The 14,532-nt window shown below is 57.5% G+C and overlaps 2 long non-coding RNA genes across 3 annotated transcripts; one reads left to right on the top strand and one right to left on the bottom strand.

Moving 5' to 3' along the window:
* The first annotated feature begins 2,611 nt into the window (after positions 1-2,611).
* LOC105376317 (uncharacterized) lies at positions 2,612-12,523 on the top strand. 2 transcript variants are annotated; one of them, XR_930430.1, is made up of 4 exons: positions 2,612-2,882; positions 3,037-3,112; positions 6,010-6,172; positions 12,247-12,523. It is a non-coding gene; the product is annotated as an uncharacterized LOC105376317 (long non-coding RNA). The 2 variants fall into 2 exon arrangements; XR_930429.3 differs by lacking the exon at positions 12,247-12,523 and having other exon boundaries at positions 6,010-6,768.
* LOC105376318 (uncharacterized) lies at positions 8,161-9,678 on the bottom strand. Its single transcript, XR_930431.2, has 3 exons — positions 9,486-9,678; positions 9,030-9,107; positions 8,161-8,732 (listed from the first exon to the last, which is right to left on the bottom strand). It is a non-coding gene; the product is annotated as an uncharacterized LOC105376318 (long non-coding RNA).
* Positions 12,524-14,532: the final 2,009 nt, after the last annotated feature.

Raw genomic sequence — 14,532 nt, 5'->3', positions numbered from 1 at the left:
CCACTGGCTCTGGGACAAGATGCTGAGGTTGGTCCCCAAAGCAGTGAACTAGGGCAGGCCCATGTGTTGACCCTGGAAGGGGTGACACCTCCTTTTGGGCTCCCTGTCTCCCTGGTCCACTCCCACCACGTGGTCCTGGCACCCCCAGGGGACCCACCACCTCAGCCCTTGTCTGCCCAGGGGTGTCCCCCTGGGCCCAGCCCCAACAGCCAGAAATCTCGGTGCTCCTTCCTGCTTCCCCACGCCATCCCGCCCTGGCCTCACCTGCCCACCTTGCCCCCACGGCAGTTAGGATGGACGTGCCTACCTTTCCACACTGCACGGCTGGTGGGCCCACCCGCGAGAGGCCGAGTCCGCTCGCAGTCAGCAGGCCATGACCCATCACATGCTGGTCACAGCGCTGGCCGGGGGCACCTTCCACTGGGAGGGTGTGGGGGTCTGGGCAAAGCCACTTGTGAGGCGGGGAGGAGGGTGCTGCACTCACCCATGGAAGCCCCCCCTGGCTGTCAAAGGGGCCTGGCACCAAGGGAGGGGCGTGTCCTCAAGGACTGAGGTGGCCGCCTGGTTTTTATCCAGGGCGAGGACCCCCCCTGCCCACAGTGGATGTACTCAATGGTGCCAGCTCTAAGGAACATGGGTTCTGGGTCCTCCCAGAACCTCCTGGAGTAGCAGGGTCTCGGCTTCTTGGGGGTGATGAGAGAGACGTTCTGGATCAATGTGAGTTTCCTCATTCCTCTGCTGACTTAAGGGATTCCAGGTTGGACCAGAAGGGTTAGCAGGACGGACAGATGCTCTGTGTTATCCTCAAGGGGGGTGGCAGCTGAAGCCACATGGAATCGCTCGTTGGAGAGGTGGGGTTTCCTCCTTAGCGAGCACGAGGGTCAGTTATACCTTCCTTGCTTGCCTGTAGCCCTCCAGCCTGAGAGGCAGAGACGTTGGCCAAGGCAGGCCACAGACAGGTGGAGTTGGGTTTGTGCCAGAGCCAGCTCCTCCCTACCTGGCCACCCCCTGGGGCAGATGGGGGCAGAGCTGGGCCAGCCAGGGGCAGCCTTTATGTGCGAACTGCCTTTCCCCGGGGACAGGCCGTGGGGTCTGCGCTTTCCTTTGCTGGGTTTTCTGAGTGATTTGTTGCTGCCTAGCCTCCTCTAGGCTGTTCCAGTCACTGCTCCTAAAGTGCCCTGTGTCTGTGTTTGGATGGACCTCAAGGCCCCGATAACAGCACAGTGGCCACCAAGATGCAGATGCTTTTTGGCAAAGACAATGAACTTTGGACCTCGAGGTCTGGCCCCCAGGTGCCTTTCTGAGGAGCAGGAGCTGGGCTAGGGGCCTGGGGCTTCCACCAGGTCAGACACAGCCAGGCCAGGCTGCTGTGTGCAGGCAAGACCTTTCCCAGCCACCGCTGTTCCAGGGCCACCCTCCCTGTGTTCCCATGGATGCACATCCTGCGGCTGCTGCCCCCAAAGACACAAGGCCCCGAGCTTCACAGAGACATGAATGGGGCCTCTGCTTGTGTGCACTGTGGGCCTGGCTGGGTGCGAGGCCGGGGAGGGGGCTCTTCAAAGGATCATGAGTGGCACAGCACACACTCAGGAAGAGGCCTCGGCTCCTGGAGCCTTGGCGCCACTGCAGGGGGCTGGGAGAGGCCCGTCCGCCGAGGGTCCTCTGACCCCACTCCTCCTAGAGCAGAGCTGTGCAGGGGCCCACGCACTCCCCCTGCAGTGACCAGGAGCCCCAGGGCTGCCCTTTCCAGTTCCAGGGAGCCAGCCAAGGAGCGCCAAGGCCACCCGGGAGCAGAGCTGCCCACCCCAGGTAGAAGCGATCTGGTTTCTCATGCACAAATCCGTCGAGGACCCTCCGGGGCTCCTGGTAGCTGGGCCCACTGAGCAGCTCCGATTCCTACCCCCTCACCGCCCTGCTGACCTTCTCCCCCGAGTGTCACCCCACGCTGGCCCACCCCGGGTCACCCCACCCCCAGGCCACCCCACCCCCGGCTCACCGTCCCCCAGGCTCACCCTATCCCTGGCTCACCCCACCCCCGGCTCACCCCACCCCCGGCTCACCCCACCCCCGGCTCACCCTACCCCTGGCTCACCCTATCCCTGGCTCAACCTACCCCCGGTGATCCTACCCCCCGGTCACCCCACCCCCGGCTCATCGCATCCCTGGCTCAACTCACCCCAGGCTCACCTCATCTCCGGCTCACCCTACCCCTGGCTCACCCTATCCCTGGTCACCACAGCCACAGGTCACCGCAGACACAGGTCACCCCTATTCTGCACTTGGTGTTGCCTCAGCCCAGAGGTTTCCTGGGGGATGTGTCCCCGGCACCACAGGCTGGAGTCTGACCCTCCAGGGGCATTTTTGAGGAAGACGGGGATTGGGGTGGGAGTGCGGGGGGGAGGGTCTCCCTCCTGTGAACCACTGGTCACTTTACTGGCGTCTGCCTTATAAATGGGGTGGGGTTGTCAGGGGCAAAAACTGACCCCCATCACGTCTTTGGTGCAGTTTTGGGGTCCCGAGTGGGAGGAGTGGGAGCTGTGACCTTGGGGGGAGGGGAGGGCTCAGGGAGGGTTAAAGGACAGCCCTGAGGGTCTTCCCAGGAGGGGGTGATTCCTCTCCGTGGTGTCAGGGCCCAGCACTCACCAAAGAGCCACCCCCATCGCCTCCCTGTCCTTTTATGGGAGCGTCTGATGCCCAAAATAGGGCTGTGATCCCTGCCACAGACACCCGTGGGTCCAAGCGGGAGATGCCGAAGGCGTGTGTGCAGTGCTGGGGTGTCATAATGCCCCTTCCAACAGCACCTGCCTCGCCCCGACCTGGTTGGGCTCAGCTGGCAGCCCCCCACGCCTGTGACGCGTGGCCATAAACATGGGTGAACCAAGGTAGGAGCGAGTGGGGGGATGCAGAGGCCCCAGTCGGCTGCCTCTTGTAAAGTGGGGATCCGTTGTGCCCTCCAGGCGGGGGGCTCTGTGATCGATTTCCTCCCCAGAGGGGACCAGGCTGCCCCGAAGTGCATCCCAGTACCCTCCCCACCAGGTGCTGCTGTCTCTGGAATCAGGATTTCTGAAACCACCTTCGGCAGGGCCACGGAGCAGCGTCTAGCTCTCTGATGGTAAGATGGGGTCCATTTCCCCTCATTCTGCGGCCCCCTTCCCTGGAGAGTGTTGGGGTGGAATTGGGGTGGAATGGAGCCATGGGCAGTCCGGCTGCTGAGGCTGTGTTGTGCCTGGGCACTGCCCGCCATGGCTCTTCCCTGCCAGGATGGGGCAAGCAGCCATGTCCTCAGGTGGCTGGGAGCAGCCCTGGACTTCTCCATGTTGCATTCACAGCCCAGCCCTGGGGGTTCCTTGGAGCTCCAGGGTTCTGGGCACAGCATGTGCTCAGAGAACGTGCTTCAGGACCTGGAATGGGCTCTACAGTCAGTGGACGTTGATTCAGCCCAGGAACTGTGCTGGGAGGCCACTTTGGTGCCAGGACAAGGGAGGGGACTCGTTTTTCCTGGGTGAACTGCCAAGTTCATAAGCTGGGCTGTCTCTTCTCTTCTCCTCCAAGGGCCCATCCCCCAGCAGGGCCAGACCCCAACCACGTAAGAGCCCTGGGCAGAGGAGCGGAGCTGAAGGAAGGGAACTAGAAGGGCCAGCCCCTTTAAGGGGCTTGCAAGGTTACTCGAAGGGTGCGCAGGTCCATGTAGTGGGGCAGGAGGCTGTCGCCAAGGAGGACCCGTCAGGCACAGGGACAGAGAACTGTCATTGCAGAGGAGGGGAGGGGGAGGCACCCCCAGTTGTGTGTTCTCTCCCCGAGAAGGCTGTGATGGGGCTAATGACTCACTCATGCTCCTGGCTTCCCCACATGAGCCCTCCTGGGAGTCCCCCAAACCCATGCTGTGCTCACCTTGGCCTCGGAAGTGGGACTCTGTTGGATGTCAGGGTGACAGCTGCTCCCCCTCAGGGCTGGCCTGGGGTGGGAGGGGCACAGTGCAGGTGTGGAGCGGTGACTCTCTTAAATCCCAAGCGCAGGCCCCGTCTCTGCCAGGTCCCTAGCAGAAGAGGAGAGAGGCAGGCGGGAAGGGAGGGCGGGAGGCCCCGGGCAGTGGCCTGGTGGATGCCTGGCTTGGGTCCTGCTCGGAGAGCCCAGCCTCGGCCCTTGCTCGGCTCCCCTGCAGTGGCCAGTGGGGAGGTGTGAGGGGCACCCCCTAGGCCCTCCACATTTTGGGGTTGCTCCTTCCCCTGCAGGGGGCCTGCTGTCCCAGGAGTGGGTCCAGCCAAGGGTCAGGCTGGCGGGGACCCCAGCAAACATCTGGTCCTACGGGAGGGAAACTGAGGCACAGAGAGGGCAGGGACTGGCTGCACCCAGGACTCCCAGCTCCTGGCTGGCCCTGCCCAGAATTGTGTCATTTTCCCGGGTCAGATCCAAGGGTGGCCCCCACTCAGGGCTAGGTGTGAGGCTGGGGAGATGGGGGCCACCCGGCCTCTTCCTAGATTGGCCGCTTCTCCAGCATCTTCTTCCTCGCAGAAGGCCTGGGCTCAGAGGTGCGTTTGCTCTCCTCGTCATTCTCCTCCCCCTCACTTTTCTGGGTCGGGTGTGCCCAGGTGTGGGCTGGCCGGCGGGGACAGGTGCAGAGGATGCGGCAGTAGGAGGCTGCCCAGGCCTCCCCATTTCCCGCCCCTGCCTCAGGCCTCCCAGACAGGGAAGGTGTTCACTCACTCATTCTTCATTCATTCATTGATTTACTTGGGGCTCCAGCCTCCCAGAAATGCACAGAGGGGGTTCAGGGCTGGGCCAATGATGAGGACGACACTGGGGGCTGTGGACGCCTGGGCAGGGGCTCCTTGTCAGACTCGGGGCTCAGGAAAGGCTACCTGGAAGGGGAAGTGCAGCTGAGGCTGTGTAAGAGTCACCCATGAAGGGCCGGGTGGAGTGGCTCACACCTGTAATCCCAGCACTTTGGGAGGCCGAGGCGGGCGGATCACGAGGTCAAGAGATCGAGACCATCCTGGCCAACATGGTGAAACCCCGTCTCTACTAAAAATAGAAAAAAAAAAATTAGCCGGGCATGGTGGCAGGTGCCTGTAATCCCAGTTACTTGGGAGGCGGAGGCAGGAGAATCGCTTGAACCCAGGAGGCAGAGGTTGCAGTGAGCTGAGATTGTGCCATTGTACTCCAGCCTGGGCAAAAAGAGCTAAACTCTGTCTCAACAACAACAACAAAATCACCCGTGAAGGACAGAGGATGGGACGTGGTGGCTGAGCACATGTAGAGGCCTGGGACTGAGGACAAGCTCTGCCCCTCAGGGGACTGGGGGCTGCAGACAGGGACAGCCAGGCTGGGCTACGGGAGAGGCAGGGCCTTGGACACCAGCACGTGTTTAGAGTTCATCCTGCAGGGCAAGGTGTGCCCCTGGAGGGTGTTATGTGAATGAGGAGGCTCCCCCGGTGGCAGAGGGAGGGCTGGGCTGAGGCTCCCTGAGATGTGCTGTCCACTAAGCACTGGAAAAACAAGCAATCAAATTACGAATAAACATAATAAATATCCAAAAAAGTACAACCCGCTGGGGCTGGTCTCAGGTTGGAGGCAGGGTGGCAGCCACTGGGGGAGAGGGGCCTGAGCGGAGGGACTGTAAGGCCAGTTGGGGCTGGAGGGAGGGTCCGGAGACGTGACTGCCTGCTCTGACGTCCTCGTTGGAGTCCTGTCATGGAGTCCCGCTGGCCTCCACGGGGAGGCATTGAGATGGGGGTGGTTTTCTGGGGTCCCCCATGCAGGCTGCAGCAGAGACAGGGTGGCATCCTGGGGTCCTGGATCTAGTCTGCAGAGCTGGGGTCCTGGGTGGAGAGAGGAAGTGCCGGATGCCAGGGAGGGTGTATGGGGATGGGCCTGCCCCTGGCGCCGGTTCCCAAGGGTACCTGCTCTTCCCTGGCAGCCTCTGAGGGCAGATGCTGGCTTGGGGTCCCTGCCTCCCCTGGAGGGTCACACTCCCCAGCCCAGCCCAGCACTGTATCTGTTTTACTTTAGGTCCCAGGTCACTGCTGGACCCTGGGTCTCACACTTGACTGTGACCCCCCCCCCAACCCCAGTCCCCAGCAGCAGGGGCTTCCCCGACTGAACCACGGATGCCCGGCTCGGGGATTGGAGAAGGCTTCACGGGTCTCTGCTGAGTCAAATCCAACTTAAAAAGGTGACTATCTTTGCCTCTTTAAAAACATATATTTTTTTCATTTAAAAAATGTGCCACTTTCCCCAAGCCCTTGGGATACAGTGACAGCCCCTTCAGTGCCCTCACTACCCTGTGTCTGTGCTGAGGCCCTGTGCGGCCCCACACCCTGCCTCCTGCCCCGTCCTGGTGAGGTGTCCCCTCTGGGAAGCCCCATCGGACACTCGGCCTGGGGGTCCCTCCACCAGCTCTCAGGGCCCCTGTGCCTTCCTGCGGAGCAGCTGACCCTTGGTGTGGAACCTGCTGGTCACCAGGGGTGGGTGGTAGCTTGGGTGCAGCACTGGTTGGTGGCCAGCACCTGGTGCCCTGGGATTTGGGGAGAAGCCCCCTGCCCACAGAGCACACTGGTCCTGGCTCAATCGTTTGTTGGATACACAGGAAAGGTCTCCAGGTAGGGAGGGAGGGGCTGCTCCCCATGCAGTGTAAATTCTTCTTCCCTTCTCTTCCATGTGAAAGTGTCTGTTTCTGGCTTCTGGCCTGAGGCTGCACTTCCCAGCCAGTCAGAAGGGCCATCCTGCAGGCTGCAACCGTTTATGAGCAATAAAGCTCTCCTTTCCAAATGTATGAGCCTTGTCATTCTTTAGTTGACATGATTGGGGGCCCCCCACAATCTCCCTCACCATAGTGGCTAAAGCATGGCCGTCAAAAGGCAGGGGCACTGGGTCAATCTGCTGGAGCCCTGTGTGTCGGGAAGCTGTGTGGCATTAAGGAAGGAGACCACTACTGCTCTTGCTGCCCTCCTCCCCCAACCTTGCCTAGTTCACAAGACAGGAGAGAAAAAGTGAAAAGTGGAAAAAAACAAAAGTAAGATAAACAGCCAGACAACCTTGTCACCACTACCCAGCCCTAGGAGTTAAAAAAAGTAATAATAATAACATCAACCCCTGACCTAAACTACTTGTGTTATCGGTAAATTCCAGACGCTGTATGAAAAAAGCGTTGTGAAACTTTTTGTTCTGTTAGCGGATGCGTGTAGCCCCCGGTCACGTTTCCCACGCTTGCTTGATGTATCACGACCTTTTCACGTGGACCCCTTAAAGTTGTAAGCCTTTAAAAAGGCCAAGAATTTCTTTTTCGGGGACCTCGGCTCTTAAGACGTGCGTCTACCGACGCTCCCGGCTGAATAAAAACCTCTTCCTTCTTTAATCCGGTGTCTGAAGAGTTTTGTCTGCAGCTCCTCCTGCTACAGCATCACCTGGGACGAGCCCCTGGGCAGCCCCGGCCACCGGAGAGACCGCCTGCCAGCCCCACCCCAACAGTGCACACGTGGCTCCAGCGACCCAAACGGGATGACTCAGTGTCCATCCTTGGAAGAGTAGACAGAGGAAGCATAGGGACGTTCTGTACAGCAGTGGTAGAGCCATGGAGATGACAAATCACAGCTGAGACCAACAACTGGGTGATTCTCAGAGATGAGGATTTTAAAAATATACCTAACAACCTGAAACAGCAGAATAGTGCTCACCTGTGAGGAGGGGAGGGGATAGTGCTGACCTGGGGGTAGGGGGAGGGGATAGTGCTGACCTGTGGGGAGGGGGAGGGGATAGTGCTCACCTGTGGGGAGGGGAGGGGATAGTGCTGACCTGTGGGGAGGGGGAGGGGATAGTGCTCACCTGTGGGGAGGGGAGGGGATAGTGCTGACCTGTGGGGAGGGGGAGGGGAGGGGATAGTGCTCACCTGTGGGGAGGGGGAGGGGAGGGGATAGTGCTGACCTGTGGGGAGGGGAGGGGATAGTGCTCATCTGTGGGGAGGGGGAGGGGATAGTGCTGACCTGTGGGGAGGGGAGGGGATAGTGCTCACCTGTGGGGAGGGGGAGGGGAGGGGAGGGGATACTGCTCACCTGTGGGGAGGGGAGGGGATACTGCTCACCTGTGGGGAGGGGAGGGGATAGTGCTGACCTGTGGGGAGGGGGAGGGAATAGTGCTCACCTCTAGGGAGGGGTGGGGATAGGTTTGGGGGTGCAGAAGGACTGCTGGGTGGCCATTGCACACGTGTATGCCTTGTGAGAATTCAGTGAGTTGTGCATTGATGTTTTTGTGTGTTACATGCTGCCAAAAATAAGTAGACAGGAGGCCCCAGCGCTGGTAAGAGGTTGATTTGGGCCTGAGTGTGGGCAGAGCTTTGGGGGTGCAGTGTTTGCACGGGGAAGGGTGGCATGGGGCTGGGTGAAGCAAGGGAGGCCAGCCCAGAAGTGGTTTCAGTGGGCCCTGAGGCCAGGTGCCCGCAGCCCCACTGGGTGGGTTTGCTCGGCCACCACTCAGCCACTCGGCGCCTCAGGAACAGAAGGGGGTTTGTGGATGCTCCCCTCTTTCCCTAGTGGTTTTCTCTTTTGTCCCCAATGCCTTTTCATGACCCATCTGGAGAGCAGATCTTGTGCAAGGTGAGGAAGAGCAGGAGAGCCGAGGGCTTGGGCTCTGCCATTGGGAACGCTGCTGGGGCTGCCAGGTTCTGGAAGCTTCCTCTAATTCTCAGCTTCATAGGAGATTTGAGCAGCAGCAGCGGTTGAATTTGCAGAGCACTTTTTCTGCGCGGAAGCAGAGGCTGGGTTGGCCTCACTGGGCCTGGGGATATGGGGGCTGCAGGTGAGGGAGGGGAGAGAAGGCCTGGGCCTGGCCTGACTGCGGGAGACACAGCCTCAGGGAAGGCTGGGCGGGCAGAGGGCCTGGGAAGCTGCCAGGAGCTCAGGCAAAGGCCTGGAGGGATGGGGGCAGGGTGGCCCACCAGGAGCTGGGGAGTGAGGGGCTCTGCGGGGGAGAAGGGGGTGACAGTGGCTGTGCGTGGCACCTTGGGACCGGCCAAGTGGATTTGTGCTTGTGTGTACCTGGCATCGACATTTGCTGAAAGGAGGTCAATGCTCTCTCGCCGTCGAAGTCTGATGTTGGCATGGGTGATGGGTGGCCTGCCAGGGTGGAAGAAAGCAGGGGGCAGGTAGCTGGATTTAACATTTCACAGCCCCAGCCACGGTCATACCTCAGCCACAACCCCAGCCGTAGACACAACTACAGCCACGGCCGCAGCCATGGCCACCCACCCCCCAGCCACAGCCACAGCCACCACCACTGACATGGCCACAGCCACGGCCACAGCCACGGTCACTGCAACCACAGCCATGGCTGTGACCACAGCCTCCAGGCATGGTCACTACCACGGCCACAGCCACAGCCCCCGTCACTGCCCCAGCCCCAGCCCCAGTCCCAACCCCAACCCCAGCCCCAGTCCCAGCACATTCCAGTCTGCAAGCTTTGTCACAGCCTTGAGCCCCCTGGGCTGCTGGCACCTCAAGGCCACACTTCATGTGAGGAGAGAGCTCCCCTCAAAACTGTGCCTCTGAGCTTGGGGTGCCTGGAGTCCCTCGTGTCCTGGGGGGTTCTTTTAACTTTATTTTGAATGAAAGAAATGCTGATGGGGAAGACTCAAAAGCCTCAAGAGACCCAGGTCCCGTCTTGGTGCAAGGCTGGGATGGGGAGAGGCCGCCGGATGGAGTGGGCAGGAAAACTGGAACTGGCTTTTCCTGGGACTGTGACGTCACCATTGCAAGAGCGTTTCCAAGGTCACCTTGCAGAGCGCGTGCAGTAGAGGCCATGCATTCTGTCCACAGCATGGAGGCGCCGCCACCTGCCCGCTGCCGTCAGCACAGGCACCTGGGCTCGTGGGCATTTCAGGTCAGCATCATCCATGGATCACAAAGTGCTGATTCTCTGACAAGCAGAAGGCAGGCGCCCAGGTGCTCCGTTAGCCAAAGGGAGGCTCCAGTGCCGAAGACAGGCAGACGGCCATGGCGCACACAGACCACGGTGTACACAGGCCACGGTGCACACAGACCACGACACACACAGACCATGGTGTACACAGGCCATGGTGCACAAAGACCACGGCGCACACAGGAGCCAAGAAAATGTTCATGAAGCTGCGAGCAGGAAAGCGCGGATTTCCACGTGGAGAGGACCTTGTCCATGGTGATGCCGATGTGTGGGGATCACCGTCAGTGCGTTGCTTGTAGGAAGGCAGCTGAGATTTTACTCTGGGTTGGGTATTTTTAAATTCAAATTGGCCCCCTGCATTTTCCTTCTATCCTCACTGGGAAATAGAGGAACGCCTTGTTGGGTGCCCAGGCTGCCCTAGCTCAGCACCTCTGAACTTTCCTTTCATATCATCTTCCCAATGTTGCTGTATCTAAGAGGCTGATCTTTTTGTTATTTGCTGTATGGATTTGTTTGTCTAAATCAGCTTACTCCTACCTGTCAGGTGGGTGTGTGCTGAGGAACAAGAACCCAGGCTGATCCCAGACATGCAGCTGTGTCCCTGGGCGGGAGCTGGACACCTGCGGGCTCTGCCCCACGAAAGCCCTGTCCTGTAGCCCATGCCAGCCCATGCCAGCTCCTGGGTCCTGGGCCACAGACTCCTCCAGCTCAGTTGCCGTCAGCCCGAACGAGGGAGATGGGGCTGTCGGGTTAGAAGCCTCATGGCCACACCAGCCGTCGGCCTCCCAGGCTGTCTTCTCCTCATCACAGGGACGAGATGACAGTGGGAGCCCCACGGACCGGACCCCATTTCTGTGTCAGGGCAGGGCCAGGAGGAAACCACACAGGAATTCCAGCAAAGAATTTAAAAAAATGTATCGTGGTACAATATGTGTCACATAAAATGTGCCATTTTAACCATTTTTGCTGAACAGTTCAGTAGCGTTAGCTACGTGTACAAAGCTGTGCAACGCTGACCACCATCTACCCGGAAAAACTTTCATCTCTCCAAACAGAAACTCTGCCTCATGGGACTGGGCATATGGTTCACGCCTGTAATTCCAGCACTTTGAGAGGCAGAGGCAGGAGGATCAGGAGCCCAGGAGTTTGAGGTTGGCCTGGACAACATGGCGAGACCCCACCTCTACGAAAAATAAATAGCTGGGTGTGGTGGTGAGCCTGTAGTCCCAGCTATTCAGGAGGCTGCGGTGGGAGAATCGCTTGAGCTCAGGAGTGATACAGCCTGGGTGATATAGCAAGACCTTGTCTCTACAAAATAGAAAATAAAAAAATAAGCCCGGCATGGGGGTGTGTGGCCCCAGCTACTTGGGAGGCTGAGGTGGGAGAATCACTTAAGCTCAGAAAGTCGAGGCTGCGATGAGCAGAGATCACACCACTGCACTCCAGAGTGAAACCCTGTCTCAAAATAAAAATAAAAATGAAACTCTGGCCATGAGCCTTTACTGCCCCCACCCCCCAGCCCTCTGCATCACCACCATTCTGTTCTCTGTCTCTGTGGGTTTGCCTATTCCAGATATTTCACACAATATGCAGCCTTTCCTGTCTGTTTTTTTAAATTTTTTAATTTATTTATTTATTGAGACGGAGTCTTGCTCTGTTGCCCAGGCTGGAGTTACAGTGGTGCAATCTTGGCTCACTGCAACCTCTGCCTCCCAGGTTCAAGCAATTGTCCTGTCTCAGCCTCCTGAATGGCTGAGACTACAGGCGCCTGCCACCATGCCCAGCTAATTTTTGTATTTTTAGTAGAGATGGGGTTTCACCTTGTTGGTCAGGCTGGTCTCAAACTCCTGACCTTAGGTGATCCACCCGCCTTGGCCTCCCAAAGTGCTGGGATTACAGGCATGAGCCACTGTGCCCGGCCTATTATTATTATTATTTTTATTGAGACAGAGCTTCGCTTTGTCACCCAGGCTGGAGTGCAGTGGCGTGATCTCAGCTCACTGCAACCTCCACCACCCGGGTTCAAGTGATTCTCGTGCTTTAGCCTCCCCAGTAGCTGGGATTACAGGCGCCTGCCACCATGCCTGGCTAATTTTTGTATTTTTAGTAGAGATGGGTTTTGCCATGTTGGCCAGGCTGGTCTCGAACTCCTGACCTCAGGTGATCTGCCCGCCTCGGCCTCCCAAAGTGCTGGGATTATAGGCTGAGCCACCGCAAAGCCCGGCCTGTGTCTGGCTTCATTTACTCAACAGAATGCTTTCTCGGTTCGTCCCTGTCCTCGTGTGGGTCAGAGTTTCCTTCCTTTCCTGGCTGATCCATGTCTGTTTGTTTACCCAGTGCCTGTGTGGATGGGCTTGCGGGCCTGCTGCATCTTTCGGCTATCCTGAGTGCTGCTGCTGGGAATGTGCGCCCGGGTGTTTATGAGCCCCTCACATCGTTTATCGGGCCCAAGAGTGGAGTTGCTGGGTCACAGGTGGTTCTGTGTTTAACTATTTGAGGAACTGCCAGGCTGTTTCCACAGAGGCTGCACCATTTACATCTCCACCTTCGACAAGGGAAGTCCGACAGGGAAGGCCCAGTGTGAGCCGTGATGAGCCATCCATACTCCTGGAGCCACAGGTGTGCAGGAACCCGACCTGCACAGGTGGGGAGAGTGATGAAGGGGGAGCTGCACTCCAACCCCTGCCACAGCCCCGGAGACCCTGAGTAGCCATCACGAAGGGGAGGGGGAATCGGGGCCCCGGGAGTGAGGTGGCCTGAAGACACCAGCCTGGCGGCAGTAGGCCCCTAAGATGGTCTTCAAATGGAAACAGAGTCCAGGACCTCAGCCTTTGTGGTCATTCAGTTGGAAATTAGAAAAAAGAAACACAACTGATTTTTTTTGAGTGTGGATATGATAGCCTCAACTTTTCTGACTTTGTTCTAATAGTTTTTGTTTTAATCTTTAAGATTTTATATTTTTATTTTTTGAGGCAGGGTCTGGCTCTGTCGCCAGGCTCGGGGGCAGTGGTGCGGTGCGGTCTTGGCTTATGCAGCCTCTGCCTCCTGGGTTCAAGAGATCCTGTCACCTCAGCCTCCTGAGTAGCTGGGACTACAGGCTTGAGCCACCATGCCCGGCTTACTTTTGTATTTTTGTATATTTTTTGTAGAGACGAGGTCTCACCATGTTGCCCAGGCTGGTCTCGAACTCCTGAGCTCAAGCGATCCGCCTGCCTTGGCTTCTCGAAGTGCTGGGATGACAGGCATGAGCCACCACGCCCGGCCCTCGAGGGGTTTCTATATGGAAGATCATATCATCTGCAAAGAACTATCACTTTACTTCTTCCTTTCCCCTTTGGATGCCCGTTATTAAATATGTCCGTTCCGTTTCATTGCTGTTGGTTCACTTCCATTGCTGCGGAGTCTTCCCTTATGTGACCATCCTACAATTGATTCATCCGTTCTGCTGTTCGATGGACATTTGGGTTCCTTCTGGTTTTGGGCTGTTAACTATCCAAGTCTTTTGGTGACTTATAATTCCATTTTTAAGTTAAATATTTAGGAGTGGAATTCTGGGTCATAAGTAGATGTGCTTTTACTTTTTCTCAAAGCGGGTGTACCACTTTGCATTCCTACCAGCCGCCCACATCCTTGCCAGCAGCGACAGGGTGGGTGTGGATCGGCTTGGCCCTGAGGCTTGGATTTGCATCTCTCTGACGACGGTGAGCACCTTTCCTGTGCCTGCGGGCTGCTATCGTGTCCTCTTTTGTGAAGTGTCTGTTCCTGTGGGTTTCCATTTTTAAGTTGGGATTTTTTTTTTTTTTTTTGCTATTGATTTGTAGGAATTCTTCAAATATTCTGCAAGGAGCTCTTTGTCATGTGTGTGTAATTTGAATATTTGTTCTTTGATTGGGGGATATTCAGTGGGAAAATTTAGTGATGAAGTAAATGAATTCTCCTTATATTATTTAAATCCCCTTTACATTATTTAAATTATATTGAGGCTTATTCTATGACCCATGATTAGGAACATCTTTTTTTTTTTTTTTTTTTTGAGACAGGGTCTTGCTCTGTCACCCAGGCTGGAGTGCAGTGGTGCGATCTTGGCTCGCCGCAGCCTCTGCCTCCTGGGCTCAATTGATCCTCCCACCTCAGCCTCTTGAGTACCCCTGTACTCCACCTCTTCATCCCTCCCTCTCCCTAATTCCTGGCAGTCCCCTGACATTCTTACTGCCTCTGTAGCTGGGGGCGGGGAGAGACTTGACACACGCAGGGGACCAAGGGATGTGGAGATGGAGCAGAGAGAGATTTGAGATGCTAGCCTGGAAGATCCCAGTGATGCAACCACAAGCCGAGGGAAGCCTGGAGTCACCAGAAGCTGGGGAGGCAGCAAGGATCCTCCCTTCCCACCTCGGAGGAGGCACAGCCCTGCCGACATCTGGATTTCAGCCTGGTGACACTGATCCTGGAGTGCTGCCTTCCAGGACTGTGCAAGAATAAACTTCTGTTGTTTTGAGCCCCCTACTTTGGGGTCCTTGGTTACAGCAGCTCCAGGAACTAATAGAAGTTGGGAGAGAAGAGTTAAACATCCTTGACTCATTCATCTGTCTGTCTCTCGCTTGTGATCTTTAGCTGTTTGCTCCT

This window comes from Homo sapiens, chromosome 9, assembly GCF_000001405.40.
Source record: "Homo sapiens chromosome 9, GRCh38.p14 Primary Assembly".
Lineage (NCBI taxonomy): Eukaryota > Metazoa > Chordata > Mammalia > Primates > Hominidae > Homo > Homo sapiens.
This window is presented reverse-complemented; position numbering and strand designations above follow the sequence as displayed.